Source organism: Homo sapiens, chromosome 7, assembly GCF_000001405.40.
Source record: "Homo sapiens chromosome 7, GRCh38.p14 Primary Assembly".
NCBI lineage: Eukaryota > Metazoa > Chordata > Mammalia > Primates > Hominidae > Homo > Homo sapiens.
Window position 1 is genome coordinate 37043605 of NC_000007.14, and position 26095 is coordinate 37069699.

The following is a 26095-nucleotide window of genomic DNA, read 5'->3' on the forward strand; positions in this document are numbered from 1 at the left end:
ATAAACTTCATTACAATGATATACTAATGTCTGGGCCTATCCCAGACGAATTAAATCAGAAAATCAGAGTGTGAGCCAGAACATGAACATTATCCGAAAGGTTCCCGGTGAATCTAATGTGCAGGCAGGATGGAGACCAACGAGAGTTTGGAACTTGTGGCAGCAAGACAGTCACACAGAGCAGGGAGCCCAGCACACAAGGAACTGGGGCCAAAGGCTAGCTTTGCTGCCTGCTTTAGATCAAGAACTCAGGCGTCCTTTGCTGCCTGCTTTAGATCAAGAACTCGGGGGTCCTCAGGTTCATGAGCCAAGTTCCTCTGTCTCTTTATAATGGTGATGCCATCTCCATTCCCCAAGACTTGAAATAATGAAGTAGTCTTTTTTATACATGTCAGACAGACTCAACGAGGAGGAGGGTGAAGCATGAGATGTTTATTTATAAGGGAAAAGCTCTAGAGCCCACTCATTTTAAAAAACTATTACAACAAACAGGTTTGTTTTTATTTTTGTACAAAACAAAATACAGCAAAAAGGCTATGCTCCGGCTAGGTGTGAAAATGCTCAATGAGGGATGGATTGACAACTCTGTCACAGCCAGAGGGTGAGGGTCCTTACTAGTCAGCAGGGACTATGATTGTAATGGCCACTCCTCTCTTTCAGATCACATGGAAGACTCAGAGCAGCCAACCCACATGAAAGTCATCTGTAAACTGTATCCCATTAAAAAAGCTAATGTGAGTGTACACTTCCTGCACTAAGTACTTCACATGTGTTATATACTAATACTCACAACATTCTAGGTCTGCACTATTATTGTCTTCAGTTAAAAATGAGGCAGCTGTAGCTTTCCCACCATCTCCACATTACCAAATCCAGGGGTGCCTGGTAAGTCACCATCTCACTCGCCCAACACGGTGTTTGAGGTGGTGACCAGCCCTCCCCATGTGGACGGCACTCTCTCTCAGCTCTCCCTATGATGGGTGCCTGCTTCACTGTCTCCCCCTCCTATTCTTAATGTCCAAACCTGGAGGTCAGTCTGCTGGTCTTTGCTCCAACACCTGTTCTCACTCTCTGGGTGATGAACTCTTACCCAGTCTCCTGGCTCCTCCCTCTTTCTGCAGCGAGATGCATGGTTCCAACTATCTGCATTCTCATGTCTCACAGAAATCTCAAATGTAACATCCAAGCCTGGATGTTTGTTTGGCTTCCATCCTCAAGTCCTCCCCTTCCCTAGTCTTCCCTTCTTTAATAAAGTATGAATTAGAGAAGTAATGTTAGCAGCTATGTGCTGTCACTTGCTGTGGCTGCTGTGGGCTATTTATTTTTTAATTTCCACGCTAGGTGTTGCCTATGTTTTGCTTAGATAAAGTGGCTATACAGCTAAGCTCTGGGATGGAGGTTAATATTACTACGCCGGTATGAAGCTATGAATGCTTTACTAGCATCGTCAATAGAGACCCTTAGAAAGAGTAACTACTTTTACACACAGACGCATACTACCAGTAAAGACTGAATCCAGACCACCTGGAATAGAAATCAATGACCAAATGCAATGTGGTATTGTGGGTGGAATCCTGGAATACAAAAAGGACATCAGATAAAAACTAAGGATATCTGAATAATGTATGGACTTCAGCTACTATTACTATTACTAATGGTAATGAATATAATACACTGCTGTAAGATGTTAATAACAGGAGAAATGATGCAGGGGACATGGGAACTCAGTGTGCTCTCTTTGTGTTTTTCTTGAACTGGACTGAAAAACAAACTTTCACTAAAAAACCTTTTAGTGGTATAAGATTCTGAGGATTTGCATTATCTGCCTGTTGCCCAGAACTTATATGGCATGTTATTATTATTTTAAAAAACTTCTCTTTTTCTCCCAAATCACAATAGTTCAAAAACTTTCTAAAAATGTTTCTCCTTTGCTCACTTCTTTTGCTCAGCAGCAACTTCTCTTTCCTCTTTTCTCTACTAAATTTTAGTAGAGAGGAAGTAAAAATACCACTTATTTGAACTTGGGAGGAAGAAGAGGTTTTTTAAAAAAATATATATTTATGCAGTGCCTCATTCCACAAAGGAATTAAGAGAAAAGGAAAATAGTTAAATACATCTTCCTTTTCCCAGATTCCCTAAAATAGTCTAGGATTATGAAACAGTCTATATTTCTATGATGGAAAGTATCTTTCATGCAATGCTTCAGAGTTAACAAAGCATTTCCCCACAGCTTACCACACATTATCTAGATAACAACCACTATGAGGTTTAGAATTATCCCTATCTCATAGGCTCTGAGAGGCGAAGGATAGCCTTCCTAGGTAGGCAGAGCTGTCTGCTTCCTGCAAATCCCGTGATTGCTCCTCCACCCAGCTGGCCCTTGAGCCCAGGCTGTCTCATGGGAGGCAGGCTTGAATGGATTAAGCCCACAGAAGCAACTTGCCAAAATCTAAATCAATCCTAAGTTTATAATCACCATATCCACCTTTACCTACACACAATCTTCCTGCTTCCTGAATATAAATAAGCCAAGAAAGAGTCAGTTGATCTTTCACTGTTGCCTATAACAAATTTTTTCTTGACTCCTTTTAAAATTATAGAGAATATGTATAACTATCCAGTAATTATTATGCACAATTTCAATAGACTAACTCAGGGCTGGCCTCTGAAAGAGAGAAACTGCTTTTCTACACATATAAGTAAGTCAGAACATCTCAGATGACACTGCCAGAAACATCAAGCATCATTTTGCTCATAAGGAATCCCAAGATACTAGTCCTCAGTAATGAGAAAAAAAGCCCAGGCCTCTGCCCAGTGGTCTTCCTGTAAAAGAACGACAGTGTGGAACTGACCCACTTGGAGCTACTTTTCAGGCTTTGAGTTGGCCAAAGAAAGAACCCCAGTATGCTTTCTTTCTTTAGACCAGCAGTTTACATTTTATATTTTGATATTTTGCAATCATTGGTGAATCAAACACGGGAATGAGAATGATGAAAACAAAACAAAACAAAAAGAAATCAAAGTATGAGACAAATCAAAGAATGAAGGAAATGTCTGCCGTTAATCTTAATTCTCTGAAACTCATGGAGGGATCAAGGGGAAGGCCACAATGTGTATCTTGCATCAGATTTTCTTAGGTCAAGAAGGGGCATCTTTGAAAGATCAAGGGAGTTTCTGGAGCAAAATAACAGCTAACACAAATTCACCTTCTGATTTTTTCTTAAGGGAACCTGGGAATGCTAAGTGATTCCAGTACAAAGAACAAAGGGGTTTTCAAATCCTTTTCAAGCTTGTGAAAGGCACTGGGAGACACTGGAACAACTCACTATGTGCTTGCTAATGAAATAGAAATTTTCCCTCTATGTTTACAAGCCAGATTCACTGATAAGAAAATTATGATTTAGGATCACAATTTTCCAAATATTATACTTTTTAGAAAGATGTCATAGTTGGTCTTAGGTAGTCACTGTTGTTGCTTATTTAACTTGTAAAGGAGAAAGAGAAAGAGCTGAACCAAAATGAATGTCTACAGGCATAGAGCTATGGCTGGCTCACCTTTCTGTCCCCACCCTATAGCACTTTGTCTGTAATACAAGTTTGTTGAATACAAATGACCTGGCATTTCATTTTATAGGCCAATTTAACAGAATAGCTTGTTAAATCAGAAATAGCTCATTAATCGGTGTTCCTTCCTGTCTCTGCCTTTCCTTCTCTCTCTATAGCTGGTGTTTGCTTTAAAACACCTAAGCAAGACAGCTGGGCTGACCACAACAGTGGATTCAGGTTCAAAACTGGACTGACATGACACCTTGGCCCCAGTTAAGGCTGGGCTCATTTCGGCTTACAAGCACGAGAGATATGTAAGGGAGGACTAATGCCCAGCAGGGCAGGTTCAGCTACTCCAGCGTCACCTGTTCCCCATAGAATCAATACATTAACATTCCAGATCTTTTTGAGTAAGGAAATTCTGGCTGCAACACAGTTGCCACCTCTTTTCCTGACTGGGTCGTTGGGCTTATTCTAGTTAAATGCCATAAAGCGTAACCATGGCTTGTCACTACAAACGTGTCTGAATTGTGGCTAAACAGACTGTGTATGCATTGGAAAGGCTTTTCCCTAAATAAAGTATATAATTTTTAGTACATAAATTATCTCTTTGTCAGCAAGAGATCTTTGTGCATTCAGTTGAGCCTATCAGATAAGTATCTCCAGGAAAGAATTCATACAGTACAGACTAGTTTTCTCTTTCCCAATTTTCCTAGTAAAAAAAATTGTGACAGTTTTTTTTTTGAAAAAACGTATTTTAAAATTAAAAAAACCCTGCTTTCTTTGATTAGAATATGTCAGTACCTTAAATATTTACAATCATGGTTTATCTGAAAAATCATTCCACTCTTATCATAAATCATTGGTTTGCCTTGTAGAACTAAATCTTCACATCTTGAAATTTACAACAAAACAGTATTGATTTAAGCTAGGGTTTCTCAACATCAGTACTATTAGTGTCTGGAGCTGGTTAATTCTTTGTTGAGAGGGAGGCTTGTCCTGTGCATTGAAGGGTGTTTAGCAGCATTCCTGGCCTCTCCCCACTGAATGCCAGTAGCACCCCCACAAGTTGGGACAACCAAAAGTGTCTCCAGACACTGCCAAATGTGCCCTGGGGCACAAAACCAACACTCACTGAGAGTCACTAATTTACACAGTAAAATCTAGCATAAAAATCTATTTTACCAATTACGCACTTATAAAATAAATTCCCTTAAATTATAAAAAATAAGGCAACCAGTTACATTATATAACTGATTCCAATTCTTTCATAAGACAGCAAATGAAAGAGGATTCCTGTGCATTTGCATAATCATTATGACTATTCTGTGACTTTAAATGCTGAACAAGACTCTGACTCCTTGGTACCAGAGAGTAGAAGCCTCTGTTTTGAGATCTGTTCCCCCACCTAACCCACAGGCAACTCTAAAGCGAAAACATGGATCGTTTATTTTATTCAGGGCAAATAAACCAAACAAGTAAACAATGTATATTTGAGCGTTCTCATGGAAAGACTTAGCCTAAACACTTGTTTAAACACGTTTCATGAGACAATCTTCAGAGTGATTCCTTTAACATTTTCAAGATGTTTTCTTATGTATTACCTTAGCTCAAAATCACAAAGCCAATGTCCTTTAAAAGACTTAAAAACAGGGCCTAGGTACCTGCAGTAACCTATTTGGATAGTTAAAGTTCAGTTGACTCAGAATATCCTGTATTTGCTGAAAGGGGTTGAATTACATTTCTTGATGTGGGCAGCTTTTTATCTCTTTCACAGACATGAAAACAGAATGGAAATGGCGATTCCCAATGAGTTTAGGGGAAGTGACGTGGTGAGGGAGACCCACTGGGAAAGCAAGCCCTTGCTTTCTTTTTGATTCATAACTTGGTAGAATTTATAATTATTTAATTTCTTTTTAACTTGTTTTCTCTGTCTTCCCACTGGAATGGGAAGGCCATGTTTTAAGAGCGACCACCCTGTTAATGTTTGTCTTGTTAAGGGATAAACATTAAGCACCTAATGTACCACCTTGGACTCAGGACACAGCTGGCACTGAGTCGGGTGTGGGGAGAGGGTCACTGCCTGCAACCGAGCAGGGACAGTGCCGCTTTGGGACTCCCCAGGCCCTTTCCCCAAAGGGCCCCTGGTTCAGCTCTTGGGCCGGGATTCTTCTCTGACCATACCAGCTCCCAAGGAAAAGCTATTCTGCTACAGAAAGGATTCTGCTTGGTGACCCTTCGAAACCAATTAAAACTATGTGATGCGTCCAGCTCTCTTCTCCTTTTGCATTTCAGCTTTTCCCTTCCAAAGGAAACCATGGGCAAAAATGTGAAAGGTGCAGAGCTGCTCTGCCCCAAATGTGGCTTCTTCTTGGGAGCCTGCTGTATCCTTCTCTCTAGGACAACTAGATAAACCAGAGGCTCAGGTCAGAGCCTTTTTTTGTCATATTCGTTCATGGGATTCAAAGAAAGCTGCCCTCTGTAGGCTTTCTTCAGGAGGAGAGGGGTCCATCACAGATTTCCTATGAAGGTGGAAGACTTCCAGAGGCAAATGATATCCAGGTGTTTGAGAGCTGTAAAACTGATTGGCAGAAATAAAAATTTACTCCCCAGTTTTGTTTTGTTTCTTTTTTTTTTTTTTTTTGAGATGGAGTTTTGCTCTTGTTGCCCAGACTGGAGTGCAATGGCATGATCTCGGCTCACCACAACCTCCGACTCCCAGGTTCAAGCGATTATTCTGCCTCAGCCTCCTGAGTAGCTGGGATTACAGGCATGCGCCATCATGCCTGGCTAATTTTTTTGTATTTTTAGTAGAGACAGGGTTTCTCCATGTTGGTCAGGCTGGTCTCGAACTCCCGACCTCAGGTGATCTGCCCACTTCAGCCTCTGAAAGTGCTGGGATTACAGGTGTGAGCCTCCGCGCCCAGCCTTTTTTGTTTGTTTTCTGAGACAGAGTCTTGCCCTGTTGCCCAGGTTAGAGTGCAGTGGTGCAACCTTGGCTCACTGCAAACTCCGCCTCCCAGGCTCAAGCAATTCTGGTGCCCCAACCTCCCAAGTAGCTGGGACAACACACCACCACACACAGCTAATTTTTCATATTTCTAGTAGAGATGGGGTTTTGCCATGTTTTCCAGGCTGATCTTGAACTCCTGAGCTCAGGTAATCCGCCCACCTTGGCCTCCCCAAGTACTGGGATTCCTTGGCCTCCCAAAGTGCTGGGATTATAGGCGTGAGCCACCATGCCTGGCCCCCAGTTCTATTTCTTAATAGTGCAAATCATAGCCTTGAAAGAAAACCAAGAATTAGCCATTCCCCTGCTATGGTGCACAAGCCTTACAACAACTCTGCAAGGGAGTGCACGCAAATCTGGGGACCTAAAAAACAGCATGGAGACTACTGTCAATAGTATTGTATTGTATGCTGGAAATTTGCTAAGAGAGTAGATTTTAGGTGCTCTGAACACACACACACACACACACACACACACACACACACACACACACACACACAAAAGGTAACTATGTGAAATAAGCCAAACTGGCTTGACTGTAGAAATCATTTCACTATGTATATGTATTTCAAAACATCATGTGGTACACCTTAAATACATACAATTACCAAAAAAAAAAACCCTATTTGATAGATGTAGAAGCCAAGTTCAAAGGTTTTTTTTTTTTTAATCACAACCTTATCTGCACTTCAGTGAAAGACATGTCAAACATTTGTTCCTAATATTTAGTCTGCTCCAACCAAGGCTAATGACCATCCAAGGAGACAATTTAACCACAGAAGATAACAAATATGGAAGGCATCATGGTTTATTCTAAGGGCTTCAGACAGGATGCCCTGTCATAAACTATGGTATTTCCCATAAGAATTCTTTCTTTGACGTGTTCAGCTTCCTTCCTTTTTGGGTAAATGCATAGTAATTGATCTGAGCCATTCTGTGAAACAAATGACTGGATATTGTTTTTGTTCAGAATAGATATAAGTAGCATCAAAACTTTGGAAAGAACTGCAGTGCTAGAAGAAATGAGAAGTGATAAAAAATGAACCGTGTCTACTTGGCCTCTTATGCATGTTGGGTGAGATGATAATAAGAGCTTTGCAAATGTACACTGGGTCACTTTAGCTCTGAAGAATATTTTACTCAGGATAAAAAGGTTTTAAACTATTCAATAAATGGGCTGCTTCTTTAGTGACTCTTCCTAATTTGGATAATTTTTGTAAGACTAATAAATCTTAACCTGAGTTTGACCAGATATTAAAAGACTGGCTTAAATTATGAGACAGTATGAATTATTTCACTTTCCAAGTTCTTTCTGTGAAATATTAATCACAGAATCTCACCTGATGAATTCTGAGGATTAAATGTTTCACTTGCTATGTTTCCTGAAACTTTGTTTTTATTTACCCTTATACTTAAAGGTGTTTTTTTTTTTGTCTCTCTTTCTACCAAACTCACATGAACTGTGGAAAGCATTTACTAACTACATAATTGGGTGTAACACTGTTCTATAAATTACAACTAGTTAGCTACTTTAAATGAATCCTTTCCTCAAGGAATTTTGCTATTAAAATCTGGCTATATAATTTATGAAACTTAAATGGTTTGTCTTCTGTGCAGGTTTTTATAAAAGCTAATCTGCAAATATGTGAAAGGTGCAGAGCTGCTCTGCCCCAAATGTGGCTTCTTCTTGGGAGCCTGCTGTATCCTTCTCTCTAGGACAATTAGATAAACCAGAGGCTCAGGTCAGAAGACTTTTTTTGTCATATTTGTTCATGGGATTCAAAGAAAGCTGCCCTCTGTAGGGCAGAGGTCATTAAACAGCAGAGGTTCTCAGACCTTTCATTCCCTTATGATCCATGTTTTTCATTTCCTTTAGCATCTCTTTTTCTTCCTTTTAATTCTGAGATCTCCAAGATGCTTTCACTTCGCTCAATCCCAGTTGCCTGGGCTCTTGGGAAGCAATGCTCACACCAGTGAATTTCTGTCTGTTGAAACCCCACAGAAGGGCAGAAGCACCTTTCCCTGCTAGCCCAGCAGTGTTCTCCTCTTATCAGGAGAATATGACTGCCTACTCCAGACAGGCCAAGTTCATCCGATCTCTGCTTTTGTTGTCAAGTTATTCCTGTTGTCATTTGGTGACATTTACTCAAAGCTATTTCATTTCATGCAAAGCCATGTTAGTTTAAAGAACTGCTATCTCCAGCCATCAAGAACAGTGCTTTGTATGTATTAGAGAAATAAAAAACATTTAAAAATTCCAATTTTTGTATTTATTCTATCAGAGCTCTCATCGAACCCTTAAGGCCCTCTTTCTCAGGCTGCAACCCACCATATCCAATATTTGCCTTCATATCTAAGTCTACTAAGATTCAATGAATGTATACCATGGGACGACTCTGGAAGTTATAGAAGACGCAACTGTTTAATAAGTCAATATAGACCTATGAATGTGATGTTTCACCTGCCACACAGCTCCTTATCCAAATCTCAAACCTCTTGCATAACTCATCTTTCTTGAGAGAGAGGTCACTGAATGGGGAATCAAAGTAGTCACGGTACCAGCTGGAATTAGCAAAGGCAGCAGAATTATCAGATAAACAGGCAAGAGGTGCAACCTGAATTGCTGCAGGGTAGGGATAAGGTTAGGGCCAACCTTAGCCTGGGAGGAAGCCCAAAGGCCCAGCCTCCGTTCAGCACCAAGGAGAGCACCAACCCCCCAGGTCGTGTTTGTCTGAGGCTCCCTAATGATGCAATCTGTCTCTTCCATAAAGAAAGCCTGATAGCAGTGTCTGTGATTTACAGAATGTTCAGCAGATGTCTTGGGGTTGGGTGGGTGTCAGGCAGAAAGAATCCAGTTCTCTGCTTTTATATCCCTGAAAGTACTTTTGTCAGATTATTCCTCTAAGAACCTGCATTCATTTCCAGACATGGACAAAACACATTTAAAAAAGTCTTTAGGTTATTTATTTTGTGAGAAGTTAGTACATATGCACATGGCCAAAAATCAAAAGACAAAAAGGAAACTCTAACTTGAATCATAGCAATGTCCATGAAAGACTGCCATGTAATTTTGGTTACACAAGAGAAGTGCCCCACAACTTTGCAGGGCATTTTCATTTGTTAAAACACACACACACACACACACACACACACACACACACACACACACACAGAAAACAACAACAACAAAAGACTATTGTCTGGTTTCCTAACAATTCCAAACATTGGTCCTGATTTATCTTCTAGAGTTATATGCAGTAAGTCAAATATCTTTTCACTTGATGATTATTGAAATACTTGAAGAGAGTTCATGTGTTTCCTCTTAAACTTCCCTACTCAAGGCTAATCATACCCCATTTCATCGACTGTTGCTTCCAGACATCATTACCTTCTTCTGGATGTGTTCTTGTGCCCCAGAATGATTCCTAATATTCCAGATATTATCTGAGGCAAGTATATTTATCACGGGACTATTAACTCCCTCCTTGGATCTGGAAACTATATTTTTGTGAGTGTAGCCGGATACTGCACTGGTTTTACTTAGCAGTCATTTACCATGGCTTAGATTGACAGGGTTGTCAACAAAAATGCTTAAGTCCTTTCTCCTCGGGTTATTGATCAAAGTCTCCTCAGTTCTACATGTATGCAATGTGCAATTGATTAAGTCTATAGAATTTGATATGTTTTATTTGATATAAGTCTACAGAATTATATCAAATTAAACAAATCTTGATATTTGTCCCATGGTTTCAGTCTACTAGAACATTAAAAAATCTTTAATTATGAAATAAATACTCCTCTTGGTTTGGGGTATCCTAAAAAGTCTGAATGTATAGTTTGCATTCCTTTATTCAGATTATGGATTCAAATCTTTAAAAAATACGCAGCTAAGGGTAGACTCATGCTTCCTCCAGGGAAATGATTCTCAGAAATCTGTAAACATGTCCTTAAGCTAAATCCAAGATACACTATATTTAGGATACCTGTGTAATTTAATATTTATGACATAAAAAATTTATTTTTGGTAGAAATTAAATTTAGTATACCTAAAATGGCTCCCAGTATTTGTTACTTTCTCTTTTAATCATCAAAACCTAGTCTTTTCCAAAATCCATTTAAAAATGTCAGTGGCAAGTTTCAGAATCTACTTTTAAAGACTGTGATAATGATGACATTCACCCTCAGCCCCTTAGCATACACTAACTAACAGCCTACCAAGAAGATGCATAAGACATGGCCTGTATTTTCAAAGATCTTGGAAGAATGGGAGATTGGTTATGAGCATAAGAACGGCACTGCAAGGAAGAAGGTAGTGTGTGTTATCTATCATAAAGAAATACAGTTTCAAGGGGCCATTTTGCTTTGGGGTTAGTAATAATAGGTGAAATGTACTAATGTTTCATTAAATATTTTAAGGAAATCTTGAGAAAAATGTGAAAATTTTTATCATTTTGTATAATCACAATTCAAGGTAAATTTAAAAACTTCTGTTTATTCATACTACACTCAATGTATATGAGAGATCTGTCTATTTCATGTAGTATTTTAGAGAATCTTTGGGTTTCAAAAAAGCTGGCAGCCATTTTATCCAACCCCTTGTAGATAGCATGCATGCCTACAGTAATTCAGAGGAAGGCACTACTATGTAGCAATCTCCAGTTTCTGGCACCTCTCCCAACTTCATTGAAAACCTGTTATAAAAATTTCATTTTCCATTGGCTGTAAATGTGAAACAGACAAGCTTCTTTGATTCAAACATCTTTCCAACCATTCATGAACATATTAGCATATGTATTGCATTTCTTGTCCTAGCAGGAATGCTACTGCTTAAAAACAATAGCACTGAGCATATTCCATCACCCAGGGAACACATTTCTAAAAAGCTTATCATTTAGCTTTCCCACTACATCCACGTCTCCCTTCAGCCATGTCAAAAAGCGGTTGTGACTCATCCTGCAACATAAACACTGGACATTAAAATGAATGTGTGCACATGGCTTCTGTGACCAGTGGATGCAGATACAGAAATGACAACAAGAAACAAAGAGCTGAGGCATCTATAGAAAAGACACTGTCCAGACTAGAAGCAACAGAATATACAGTGAAGAACATACGCTTTAAAGATTTGGGTGAATGCCATCTCTAACAACTTAGGAGTCCTGTGGATTTGGGCAGGCTGATTTCCCTTTGTGAACCTCAAATGCTTCATCTTTTGGCAATTAAGACTACAGCAGGAGACAAACAAAGACTCCTGGGTCCATAATTATGCAAACTTCAGACTTTCAAGTATGTGTGTAAATCTAGAATCAAAGTTGTAGCAGTCAAGCTACCTAACCCCTTCCACATTCACCTGCCCAAATATCCTCCCAAGAGCCAATGAAATGTGGTCACTTTTTGCAGGATCTGCCCCAATCAGCTTGTGAGTCAATGTTCAAGAGGATGTTAGCTCCAGCCCTCCTGCGGGTGGAAATCTCTCATTCGTTTTATTTTGTCTCCCTGAATTCTGAGGGTAAAAGGCTTCTAGGCAACACACATGCTCACCACATCTGTGTTAAGCCTTGGGTCCTGCAGTACCCACAACTGGACCACTGCATCCAGTTGAGTGGTGCCAATTCTAGTGGGCACCATCATCCTCACTGTCCCTGTCAGCCACGCACCCTGGAGTTACACCATCCAGGTACAGTGGGCAGCCACAATCTTTCTAAGGGAGATTGTCCTATCTGTAGTCTCGGCTGTAAGGGCAGCCCTAAATTTTCATGTTTTATTCCATATAATTCATTAAGATTTAGCATTCAACTTAACTTTAATTAGGAACCAATTAATCACAAGACATTCAGAAACATTTGGTGCTTTAAGAAGAACAAGAGAAATGTAAAGGCAGAATCCTACCCAGAAAGAATTTACAATTTACAGTGGTCCAGCTTTCCTCAATAATATTTCAAGAAGATTTTAGTTCTAGTAAAATTTGTTGAGTCGTTCTCACACTTTGGGGAAAAGGTGATTTATAAACACAAGCTATTTTTATTGACTATAGATCCCTAGCCAGTTCTTTACAAGGTTGTGTACCCAAGAGGGAAGAAATGCAGTGATTAAAAAGCAACAACAGTTGCAGTTTCTTTTAAGTGACTTTCTTGACAGGGGCACCAGGCAGGGTCAGCTTTTCACATGTCAGTTCACAACGAGATAAATAATTCTTGGAGCACCATCCTTTAGAATTCCTACTGCAACCTCTTGGCTTAGACAAAGCAGAGCTCCCAGGAACAAGCTTAAACCAGATCATGCTCCATTAGGATGCAGTGTCGGTGACTGTCAGAAAAGAGGACAGGATATCCCTACCACAAACTGAGTTTATTTAATCCATCAGTTTTTGAAGAGGAAAAGGATGACATGGAAAATTAAAGAAGCATAGTCTTCCTCTGGTTGTTTCCAAGCAAACAGATTTGACTTGAAAAGCAGGCTGAAAGGCACCAAGGGCAGGATCCCTTTGAACGCTTAGAGGAAAGGTGCCCTGGCACCAACAGATGGAAACGTCTATCATCCAAACAGCCTATTTCATCCTTGTGTGAGTGTGCATGTGATGGTGGGGAGGGCAGGGGGAGAAATACAATGACATACTCAGGGCAAGAACAGGGGAGCCCACTGGGGGATTTGGTGGTCAGAGTCCTGAGTTCCAGCTCTGATTTGGTCCACTTTCAGCTGGGGCATCTTGGGCCAGTTACTGCACCTCTGAATAGGTTCTCTCATCTGTCAAATGGAAATGAAGATAGTATCTATTTCATAGGATGGCTTCAGTATTAAATAATTAATGTAAAAATTCTTATCAAAAATGTCCAACACAAGATAAGTACTCAAAAATATCTGTATTATATTTTTAGTAGGTTAGGTATAATATAGAAAAGATGAGGAAGAGGGGGCTTAACACATAATTGTTAAATAAATGAAAACAAACATGTAACCAGACAGAAATAAATTCTAATCATTTTGTGGGAAATTATATTACCAATCGCAGGTTTTACATTATTTTTTCCTTTAATACATTTGTGGCGGGCTTTACACCCTGACTCTGATATAAGATGTTAAAATCAATGATATTGTGGTACACAGTTGTCATGTGTTTTGAAAAAAAAAACTAAGAACCATTTAGGAATATGTCTAACTTTATAGGATTAAAGAGAATGAAGTGTTAGAAGACTGACTCCCTTAGTGATCACCAGAAGGCACAGCCTGCCCTTTGTGGGGTAGATGTGTCCTACCACCTCTCACTCCAGGTAGAAAATGGGAAAATGATTTTGAAGTGACATCAAGTTCTCCTTAAGCCATCAGGTTCTCATGAAATAATCTACACAAGAGCTTCTTTCATGCTTTCATGAGCTTTGTTCTTTACAAGGCCTTCATTACTCCTTCATTCAGATGTCCCCAAGATACAGAAGCTTTATCCACTTCAGTAACACCACCTTAGCCCAGCAAATTCAGAGCATCATTAGTAGAGGAGAAGCTAGTTTGTCCTTTTCAACGCAGATGTGTGCATGTGCACACACACACACGCACATGCCCACCATGAATTGACCTCTGGGTTGATTAGTGAGAACACTTCTCTTCACATTTCCAAGCTTCATCTAAAAATTGGGTTTAGAGGAGGGGAGTACTGGCAGTTCACTGAGTTAATGATCTCTATTTTCAGACCAGAAAACATTTTCTGTTACATTTGTGTATTGCCATAATATTACCAACTTCCTATTGTGTCAGCTAACACCATTTGAAAATTCTTATACCATTACCACCATTTAATAAAGAGCAAGATGTTATTAACCCTAAAGAACTTGGCAGGACTTGGTTACAGAAAAAGGTTATTCCTTCAGTGCTACGAAGAAAAGACAAAGGGCAACTTTACACAGGCACACACATGTGTGCACAGAGGTAAGTGCATGCATGTACACTCACACACAGTGTACATATGACTGGCTACTGAACAGTGAAACTCCACTCCAGGCTAGCAAGGTCTTCAGTCTAGAGTTCCTTCGACTCTATCAATGCTAAGGTCCCTTCTCCTTCTCACTGTTTTTGATTCTGTGGGCTGGTTTCATATAAATGTAAAGTCATCTTCTCTGGGATGTTTCACTCAAGTCACAGCAACAGAGGTGCAAAATTTAAAAAATCCCACCCTCGTAGGAGAGATTTTTTAGCTAGCTTATGATATTTTCATTGTAGATTTTTAAATTCACTTAAAAAACCTAAAAGGCAAGAGGCCATGCACCAACCTCTCTCTCTCTTGCTCTCTTCACCTAACCTGTCCCTTCACTTTCCTGCTGCACTGGGGTGGGGGACATGCCAACCAGAAGTGGGCAGAGAAGAGAGTGAGGAAAAGGAGGGAATCTGTCCAGGCTTTCATCAGACTGACTGGAGGTACTGACGCGAAATGATTCTGTGTCTGCATGAGAGTAAATGCACACCTTTTGAAGGTTCTATGAGGGCTCCATTCCTTCTGTGGGAGTGTGATATGACCTTTCCTCCGGAGAATCTCAATGCAGGAAGCCCTGGGGATACTCTAGGACCAAGGAAGCCTAGAAGACACTTCTAGGAAACCAACTGGCCCTGATTCCACATGGCCCATATCCTCATCTGAGAGTACTTGGTTAAAGGACTCCTCAAAGATTGTGAAATGTTCCGAAAATCTTTAGTTAGCAGTGTGATATCATCCATACCCAAAAAGGATTTCTCAGAGATTTCTGGAACCCATTGTGGGTTTCTTCCTTTCATGGGGACACCCAAGAAATGACCAAGGGGGATGCTGGGGAAGGGTCTATACCCATTAGGCACAGTATCGCCACACACGAGGCATCCCATTGGCTCAGGATGTCCCACTCGGGCCACCTGAGGCAAGGAAAGGTCTCCCTGTGGTTAGAGTCTCAGATGAGAGTTTCATGCTGGAATATTTTCCAAAGCTCAGTGAACTACCCTGAGATGGCTCCTTTATATTCACTCCAATATATTTCCCATATTGATGAGTATTTTAAATAAACCCAAGGGAGCCAATTCTGATCCACCAGGGAAAATATCACTCCAGTGGGGGCTTTTACAGACAGATGCTCTGTGGAACAGGGTTCCAGCAAGTCACAGCCCTTTGCAGTGCTTGTCAAGAGTGGAAGATTAAAATTATTTCAAGGCAGGAATGCAAGCTTAGGGCCAATGTGTCAGCTTTTTATGGGAACATCATAAAAATCAGATAACTTATCCTTGCTGAAAACTAATATTATGTGCGTCAATCTTCTAGTATAGCATAGTAGAAACTATTTTATGGACTATTGTTATATTTTTCCTCTTTCATTGTGTGACAGAAGCCATTTCTGTGTTTCACTGCTTTTCAGTATGAACTGCCATCAATAATATCTCACAGAGCCAAAAATCATTCACTGTTATGTTAATCATTTGAAATTATTTTTAGCTGGGAAGGAGATTCAGACTTTAATGGCCACTTAAGGAAATGTGGCTTTGAAGTCATGTGCAGGAGGCCCCAGACAGTACAGCTGAATTCTAGGGAGGTTTCTTTTTTCTTTATTATTGTCTTCCTCTCTCAAATGTTCCCACCAGAGACCTCATGGCACCAGAGCAATAATGGTAACAATGCCTTTCATTTTCTCATTAGATCCCAATGGCTCCAAATTACCACTCAGAGCTGGAAATGTGAAAAGCGAAAGGGATGATAAATAAATGACTTGCCCAGGGGCAGGCACAGAACTACACATGGGCCACCTGTTGGCGTTTATTTCTGACAATATCACTTTTAGAGTTTTCTGTGATACCACCTCAGGAAGAGGATGGAAACAAGATACCTACAAGGAAATATGTGGATTGGGCACCTACTATGGATTAGGCCCTTTGTTAGGGACTTTCATATCTGTGATCACACTGACCTTCATAACAGTCCCATGAGGTAAGAATTATTACCCATGCTTTCATAAAGAGAACCTAAATTAAGTAACTTGTCAGGTGTCACAGAACCAGCAAGAGGCAAAGTGAAAGTTTAATCATGTAATTCCAGCCTTGGCCCTGAGAAAGTGAAGACTTGTCTTTTAATGAGGCACAGTTCTTTTCTTTTCAGTTGGAAATGGGTGTACGGAATTTTAAACGATAGACCAAACATATACACCATGGAATACTACACAGCCATATAAAAGAATGAAATCATGTCCTTTGCAGCAACATGGATGCAGCTGGAGGCCGGTATCCTGAGTGAATTAACCCAGGAAGACAAAACTAAATACTGCATATTCTCACTTATAAGTGGGAGCTAAACGCTGGGTACACAAGGACACAAAGAGGAGAATAACAGACACTGAGAACTACTAGGAGGGAAGAGAGGGTGGCAAGGGTTGAAATCTAACTATCGGATACTATGCCAACTGGGTGACACTGGTACACCAAGTCCCAGTAAAATGCAATTTACCCATGTAACAAATCTGCACATGTACCCTCTGAACCTAAAAGTCCAAAAATAAATAAATAAAAAATAACAAAAAACCCAAGTGACCAAAACATTAAAACTTCAGTCAATAATTCCTTTGAGTTTTACTGCCCATAAAATATTAGGTCATTGGCTTTTTCAAAATTTCATTTATACTATAAACTAAGTAAATAAATTAATTTGTCAAAAATTTGGGGTAATGTCCCAAGTCACTGGATTCTGGCCCAATTTGGTGATGGGCTAGGGAGGAGGGAGGCACAGAGGGGAGAGGGGAGGACAGAGACACAGAAGGTTTCTGTCCACAGAGGCTCCTACACTAAGATTCCGATTTCCAAGTACACATCTGAATGACTATTTCTGTCAATGACTACTCTCGATTTCCCAAATTTGGTTATCATTTATATTTTGGTTTTGCAAAGATGATACCTGTCACAACCTTAGGTTTGCTTTGGCATAAACTGTTTTACCTTCATTTGTCACTGATAGAACAGAGTGCTCAGAGAACCAGAAACAGATTAATGGGGATGGGGGGCGTCATTTTACATGGACATCTAGCAGAATAGAAAAGGTAGTTTTCCTTCGTGTTGAAGATACAAGGGATTTGAAAGGAACAGACATAACTGGTCCTAGAGACCAGTTGGTCTGTCACCTACTGTATAAAACTAAGGGTTTCTACATAGAGTTAGCCTTCCTTCAAAGCACTGGATACAGCCACAAAGTAGAGATCTCCTTAATGCAAAAGGCACGTTCTAGAGAGAAGCTTTATTGAAACAAAGAATACAGCAGGCCTAACGAATAGTGGAACAAAGTGACTAGAGTTGCCCCCAGAATTCAATCCCATGGTGGTAGCACTTACTGACCCAATCTCTTTCCTCCCTCACTCCCACCCGTCCTTTTTTCCGTCCACAATGCTTTTGTGGCCACCATATACAAAACAGACATTGAGGTGGACTAGTGGAGAAGAGTGATAAATCAACCAGTGGTCTTCAAGGAGGGGACACGTAAGCAGCCAATAAAAGAATCAAGTCATTTAGCAATGGGGTACCCTAAGGAGACTATGCTGTCTGCTGCCTTTTATAACGAGCATGGATTATTTAAAAATAAAAAAGAACAATAAACAAATTATACTGAAATAAATACACCGAATGGCATCAATACTCATGGGGTTTTCTCTATGACTCCGATATTTAGATTAATTGCCAACCTAAAAGGTTTCCACATTTTAATATTTTTCATTCAGGATTTTATCCTTTTCATTCCTAATATTCTGTGACCCCAAATGTGCTTCATTTAACAAAAATGGAGGGTCACACTGAAAGGCAACTCGTGACTTTGGACACAGATAAACCCTGGCTGGGTTATATTTCATCCTATGAGAAGTGTTCAGCATTCAACCTGCAGCATCCTAGTTGACATAGCAGCATCCTGTAATTACCCCTAAAGGCCATTTGATTTGATAATATATTCACCACCATGTATAATTTACATAATGTTTTACAATTATGCATTAATATGCAAATGTTAGGCTAAAGATTATGTGGCCTAGAAATGCAGTGCAAGTATTTCTCTGACAATCACGCTCTGTGTGTATATAGATATCTAACCTGATAGGCCTTTCAATGTTAGTGAAGGAATGACTCATGGTGATTAAGAAGAAATGAGAATGAGCCCAGCATTCTAAATTTGCAATTCACTTACCAGAGTACATAAAGCCATGTTAAGTTCAATAAATGCTATGAGGATGAACATTTTTCTCTCTAAATTTCTTACGTGGATCTCTGGGATGTCAGAAAGCCTGTCAAAACCAGCACCAAAGGTGGGAAGTGGTTTAGACACGTGCATCCTTTAGACATGTAACTACCATGAAAATAGCTCACCGAGTGTATATTATGACACACTAATCAGATAAACTGGGCTGTGAAATTAAATCCTCTTTCTCCTTTCCCCAACAATAATCCATCTACAAAGGGAAAAGGAAATGAAAGTGGGGAAAGGGATAAATACTTATGTCACTTTAGCGTCACTGTTGATGTGTTAAATGTACAAAAGCCAGGAAATTCAGTTACCGTTCCCATAGCAACTGCAGCTTGCCTCCTGGACCTGGTAAATTAAGTTATGAAAATTAATCCCACTTAGAACATGAGGAAACACTGCCCCTAAGCAAGGGAAACCACAGTTAGGTCGAACTTTGTATTAACTGAGTAGCAAGTTCTCCTCAAGATGAGGTCCAGAGGAAAAGACAGTTGCATGAGCAGCTCACTGCAGGCTACTTTCCAGGAAAAGAAAGGTTTCCTTCAACTGGTATGACCTGACCAGCTGACAGCCCAATAAGTGGGAGCCTAGACATTCCAGAGGCATCAGAGAGGGAATAACAGACACAGCTCCCCTACACATGCAGGCCCAGGATGAGAATTTATTTAATCCTCCCGGTAAGAAAATAAGCTACCATACCTGTGGTGTACCTTACTACTACTTCTGAATGCCAGTTCTCTTAGGATTCAATGAAAAGACCAGCAGAGAAAAGGGGACAGAAATCTGAAACTTATGTGAAAGTCCAAGCTTCAAGTCTTATGTGATTGTCATTCAAATGGATGCTCACACCTGGACCAAGTCTACACCTGGACCAAGTATGACTGTATTACCTGAGGAGGGCTGTAGGTTGTATTTTAAATCAATAAGCAGCTTTTGGTGACTAGCTAAATCCTGGTGAAAATTCACCCAATTAAGATTTCTTTACTATGCTGCTACTTATTTTCAGGTTCAGTAAGGAATCTAAATCTTCAAAATAAAAACTAATAAAAGGTCCTACAGTCAGTACTAAACAAAGTTAAAAAAAATTATAAGATAGGCATATGCTTTCCTTCCCTAAGGAATACAACAAATTAGTTTTGGAACTAAACTATAAACATTACCTATAGTATCAGCAATAGATATGGAAGTCAAATGACATATTATTTAATAGTAAGTGTTTTCAAGCCATGATCACAGTCTTTCTCTTCATCACAGCTTCTACCATCATCCTGGGTTGCTTTTAAATCCACTTGTATGACCCTTGGCCTCATCTCCAATGACCCTTCACTCGATTCCCCTCCGCTATCTCCCTCCGCAGTCACCCTTGAGCTGAGAGTATTGAGAAAACGCACGTTCACCAGAATCAGCACATTGCAACACTCAAGTTTTTGAAGACTGCCTCCTCTCCTACCTCCTTAAGTAGTAAGTACCACTGCTGTAGTTCTTCAACCGGGGCAAAACCGCAAGTTCAACCAGCCCCCTCCTGCCACCACAACCACTTTCTCCCATGCAGATTCCACGGTCCATTATTACAATCATGCTCTTTCTGCCAAATTGCCTAAATTCCTAAATTTTTTCATCCTTGGGTCGTCTGCCGTATCCACTTGTCATAGTCCTAACTATAGAGGAGCTCCATGGGCTTCTTTCTCTGGGCCTACATGGAGCAGCTGAAGTGTCTGCAAGAACACAGTCCCACCAGATGGCCTCACTACAGTCAGGATCCAAACCATCACCTGGGCCCTTGACACTGCCTGGGCATTTTCTCGTGTTCCTCTAGACATCCTGCTCTCACATGCTGCACAACATCATTTCATAAATTTTCTACTGTCTTTAAACCTTGCTCATTGACTCCCCTCATGCTAGGAGGGTGATGCTGCATCCTTCATAGAGAAAATTGAACCATTGGTATGGAGCTTGGGTCCCAGGGAGCTCCTGCCCTGGGATCTGCATATCCTCTGCGATGCAGTAGAAACTGCAGGGACTATGTATGAGGGCTGGAGCATCAGATCATCAGGTTCCAATCCTGGGTCCAAGGTTTGACAGCCAGTGGGCCTTGGGCTAACTACTTCACCCTCTGTGCCTCGGATTCCTCATCTATGAAGACACAAGGACACTACCTGCCTCAGTGGTGTAGCTGTTACAGGAAATAATACGGGCAAAGCCTGCAGAACAGTGTTTGGCACACAATACGCACTCAGAAATGTTAGCCTTGATAATTATCACTGTTATTATGAATCTTGGTTCTCTCCTCTCTTATCCTTCTTACTTACCCTATTAAAACCCTTCCTGCTTTTAAAAGCCAATCTCCCCGTAAGTACTCAGATCCTATCTCCTTCCCCATCTGCAGAGACTAGGCTCCATCAGTGTCTCCTCTCTCTCCTGCACGTCTCTCCTGCCTACAGTGGATCCTGTCTATCTGTATTCAGATATGCTCAGCAGTATGCAGTACCTGTTTAACAGCTAGCTTTTGGTGGGGATGGTAAGGTCTTAGTTGTGTTTGCCAGTTTCTGTAGTGTAAATATTCCCACCATAGCCAATTCTGAGCTGCCCACTGTTTAACGACTGGCTACCAAACTTGCTGAAAATAATTGGTTCTAGTCCATTGGTGATTTATGTTGGAGTGTCTCTCATCTTTACAAAAACTCACTCCCAAACACCACCATGAACAAAAACAAAATGAAAACCCAGCCAGGGTTCTAACACACACCTCCACCTCCCACCCCAAACAGCTATTGCCCTATCTCTTCACTCCCCTTCATGGCTACCCCCACCCTTTTTTTTTTTGAGGTGGACTCCTTCTATGTTGCCCAGGCTGGTCTTGAACTTCTGGGCTCAAGGGATCCTCGCACCTCAGCCTCTCAAGTAGCTGGGATTATAGGCATGCATCCACCTGTGGCTACCATCTTGAAAAGAGGTGTCTCCATCACCCCCGGCCTGACATCTACTCTGCCTTCCATCTCCTTCCATCCCTCCATGAGAACTGCGCTAGCTAAGGACTCCAGTGTCCTCCAGGAAACAATTCAGTCCTCTTCTAACTTGACTCTTAGCAGCATTCACTGGTACCTCCATGTCTTCTGGTTCTGCCCTTCCCCCTCAAGTCACTCCTTCATGTGGTCACCCTCCTCTTCCTCTAGAAGCCCTTAAATGAAGGTCTTCCATGGGTTTGCATGCTGGACCTCTGTTCTTCCCACTCCAAATTCTCTTGAGACAATCTTAACTCATCTCATAACTTTAGTACCAACCCACATGGAAAAAAGTGCCAGTTTATTTTCTCTGCATAGGTTTTCTTTTAGGGTTCTCTGTCTGAATGTATCTATTTTGAAAATGAAAACGCTCGTGCTAGTGGACTGGAGGAACAAAACAAGCATAGAGACACTGCCTGCCCTAACAACATTCACGCAATCTGGGAAAAAGAAACAATCTGAAAAGTTATGTCTGTGACTCACTGATATGGTTTGGCTGTGTCCCCACCCAGATCTCACTCTGAGCTGTAATAATCCCCACATGTCAAAGGCAGGGCCAGGTGGAGATAACTGAATCATGGGGCAGCTGCCCTCATACTGTTCTCATGGTAGTGAACACGTCTCACAAGATCTGATGGTTTTATAAATGGGAGTTCCCTTGCACAAGCTCTCTTGCCTGCTGCCACGTAAGACATGACTTTGTTCCTCATTCACCTTCAGCCATGACTGTGAGACCTCCCCAGCCATGTGGAACTGTGAGTCAATTAGACCTCTTTCCTTTATAAATTACCCAGTCTCGGGCATGTCTCTATTAGCAGCGTGAGAACAGATGAATAAACTTGCCAGCCAGGTAAGTCACAACCACATGAGGAAGAGATGGAATCAAAACTGTAGGGCACTGAGTGTGGCATGTCCATTAATGCAAGCACTTATGCCTGGGTGTACAGCCTTACTTCTCTGAATCTAGTATTTAGCCATTTGAGGGCAATGGCAAGAATGAGGCAAAACTGAATCTCTCTCAGCACGAAGTGATTCTCCAAGCACAGATGCAGGCCCTTTCCTGGCTGTGGCCACTGGGTTGTCCCTTGGTACCCAGTACCCAGGCCTTCTGGGGTCATTCTCCAAAGAAGGCACTGTGGCTACAGGCCAGTAGGCCTCTGTGCCTCAAAGAGCCTCAAAGAGTTCTAGTGTTCTATACCACCGTAGGATGACTATAGTTAATAATAATATATAGTTACAAAAAGTTGGAAGGAGGATATCGAATGTTCCCAACACAAAGAAATGATAAATGACTGAGATGATGGATATGCTAATTATCCTGATTTGACCACTATACCTAGTATATATCAAAACATCACTGTGTTCCCCATGAATATGTACAATTATTATTTGCCAATTAAAAAATAAAAGAGCTATTGATAAAGAGAACATTGGACTCAAGAGCTTGCATGATTTTTAGGGTAGAACAAAATTAATTTTAAAAATCCAGAAACTGAGGGCACTATGTTTTCATCTGCTCTGATACTTGGAAATCCACTTGCATTACCCAGCTAAGCAAAACTAGTGGGTCACAATAACCTACAAGATTTTTGACTGATTAGACAGCAATACCCATCAAAAGGACTTAGGAGTAAATTCTCTATCTGGGAAACTTTTGGGGCAGGAAATATTTTTTACAGACTGAATTTATGAGACAAACTTTGTCAGAATTTAAAGAAGATCTCATAAAAATCAGAATCCATGTATTCTCCAGAAACTCATCCATTCATTTTTAGGTAAAGGTTTAAATTTATAGATGCCACTGATTACTGAGGGTGGCACGCAACCCAAGCATTCATCTACAGACATGATGCTTTGAGAGTAAACATTCTGATCACATGGTGCTAAGGTGCCCCATCAATTGAAAAGAAAGTAAGAAATCAACATGGAAAAAAGTATCCAGTCCACACATATGTGCTGAGCATCTCACTACTTTTCAGGTCTGTTGGTCAGCAGGGTACAGCGATGAACAAAATATCTAAACGTATGTGCAACAAAGAGCGACAGAAATGCAAAGTATTTTCTTCTTATACTTCATATTCTAATTATTGTATTATGTACAGATATTTATTTTCTTCCCATACTTCCTTTTCTAATTATTCTACTATGTACAGTCATCTGTTTCATCATCAGGAAAAGAAGCGGAGCCTTGTTTAAGGAAAAGATGTCGAGAGAGATAATTTCAGAAATGATTTCAGACATTTAAAACATTAAAACAACCTTGTTTCTAAGTTATCTCTATTAACTTTAGAATTATAAAATTAACAAACTAGAAATAGAAATTGTTAGTCTGCAACAGCTTGAAACTCACATAATCTTTCTTTTTTTTTTGAAAAGACAGAATTTTCCTGTTATTAACACCATAAAGGTTTAAAAAAAAAGCTTCTTTGAAAGAACTCATGTGGCTAATAAATGTGTTCTTGAAGGCTCTTCTCGGACTGGAGTCACTGACAAATCTCAGAAGGATGAGTTGAAATATAAACTCTAGGCGAGCTATTCTCACTCATAAATAAAACAGTTCGAACTCTGCTTGGGGTTATGAGAATCCAAAATTCAGTATTATGGAGGTACTCAGAACATTTGCATTTGAACATTAGAGACCAAATACTGGGCTAAGAGAATGGAGAAGACCAACAGGTAATAGGCACAGATGGCCTGGGCACAGGTCTACTGCTCTCAAGTGGAACTGACTGTGGGTCACGTGTTCCACTTTGACACATGGGAAAGTTCACATGCCTCATCCCTTCCCCAGGCAGGCCCTAAATGAAGGCTGTGGTAACATGAGATGGGTTGTGCAGTAAAGCAGTTCCCAGCTGTCCGGGTGAAACTCTATCCCAGTCTCCCTGTCTCAGGAAAGTACAGTAAGTTAGCAAGTGAGAGTGACGTTAAAGAGATATTCTTGAACCCGCTCTAGGAAACCACCTGTACCCTTTGGCACTTTACCTATTCTTAGTAATAGAATATTTGTGACCATTAAGATGTGATGAGGTCACAGTTGACAGTGGCCAATGTATATGACACTTATTGTCAACATTAATTCCCAGGACATAACCCCATCTCTTCTTATTGCACTTGCTAGTATAACTATGAGGCCCACTCTGTTAAGGCAGATGAATTTTAGCATATGCCTCAGTAAAACACAAATAAGAAAATCAATTTCATAAAAGAACAAAACATTTAGGATACAGGTAACTCAGAAATTAACATGCAATGTCTCAGACTTATATAACTGAGAGAGTAGAGAGAACTACAGTTGGTTCATTACCCAATATAATGATATAATGAAACTAAGGAGTGTTCATGCTGGTTTACAAAAGGGGAGATAGTGGTGCTCACTAAAGCACAGACAGCTTGAGGGATTCCTACAGAAATCCCCTTTAGGAGGTCTGGGCCCCACAAGCAAACATTACATAGTAATGAGCCCGACTCCTAGGTCATGAGATGGTCCCCCAAATTATTGAAGGCTATAAATCTTAAATATAAAGGTGGCTAATACAAAATAATTATAAAACAGCAGTTTGAATTTAAGTGACAATTCTACATGTGAAATATAAAAGTGTTAATGACCTCATTTTGAAATGATGGTCACATGTCTCCAAATGCCTCATCTCTCCGTGTAAGAGTCAGGGTTCTATCCTGACAGTAGGACACTCCTTCATTCCTCTAAGATTGCAGCTGCTGCTCCCTGGGAGCCTCCCAGTGGTGGGAACAGCTCCAATCCCATTCTAAACCACTAAGAGCTCCAATAAATGGTTACCATTTACTCCCAGGGTTGGCCAGTAAGCCCCTCCCCACTTCCCCAGTAAGTCTAACTAGAGACAAAAGGAATACATTAAAAAAATGTGCTTTATCTACACCTTACAAGTCTGGTCCTAAGACCTCTCTAAATAGATCTAAGCGATCTATTTAGAAGGAAAAGAATATGTTTCTTGATGAAAACCACTCAAATTAGTAAATTAATTCTTGATCTGATAAAGTCAAAACAAATCCACTCCATCACTTCCCAACCACTTCATGTATGAGGCAGGGGAAAAATCCAGAACCAGAGTTACTAAAATCAGAAAAGTTCTAGCAGCTGCAAACATGAAATTAAGAAATTCCCTAGAAGAGAAATTCTCAAATTGTGCCTCACTGTAGCAAAGAAAAGTGAATGACTAATAGGTGCTAAAATTTCTAAAGTCTCACATCTCATAACATGCCCCAAACTTATAATTTATTTCATAACAAGCACTTTTAGCTCAATCTTTGGAAGAAATGTTTCAAATGGAACCGATCTCCGATTTC

The 26095-nt window shown here is 40.4% G+C and overlaps 1 protein-coding gene across 14 annotated transcripts in view, besides 2 other annotated features; it reads right to left on the minus strand.

Annotated features, from left to right (window-relative positions):
- ELMO1 (engulfment and cell motility 1) overlaps positions 1 to 26095 on the minus strand; it is a 596421-nt gene that overhangs the window by 190699 nt on the left and 379627 nt on the right. The gene's annotated exons all lie outside the window — the stretch shown is intronic.
- Positions 22005 to 22114: an enhancer, noted in NCBI's record as "active region_25850". NCBI's record gives its function as "activates an Ori minimal core promoter by ATAC-STARR-seq in GM12878 lymphoblastoid cells {active_cell/tissue: GM12878}" and the evidence as "EXISTENCE:reporter gene assay evidence [ECO:0000049][PMID:35858748]".
- Positions 22475 to 22794: an enhancer, noted in NCBI's record as "active region_25851". NCBI's record gives its function as "activates an Ori minimal core promoter by ATAC-STARR-seq in GM12878 lymphoblastoid cells {active_cell/tissue: GM12878}" and the evidence as "EXISTENCE:reporter gene assay evidence [ECO:0000049][PMID:35858748]".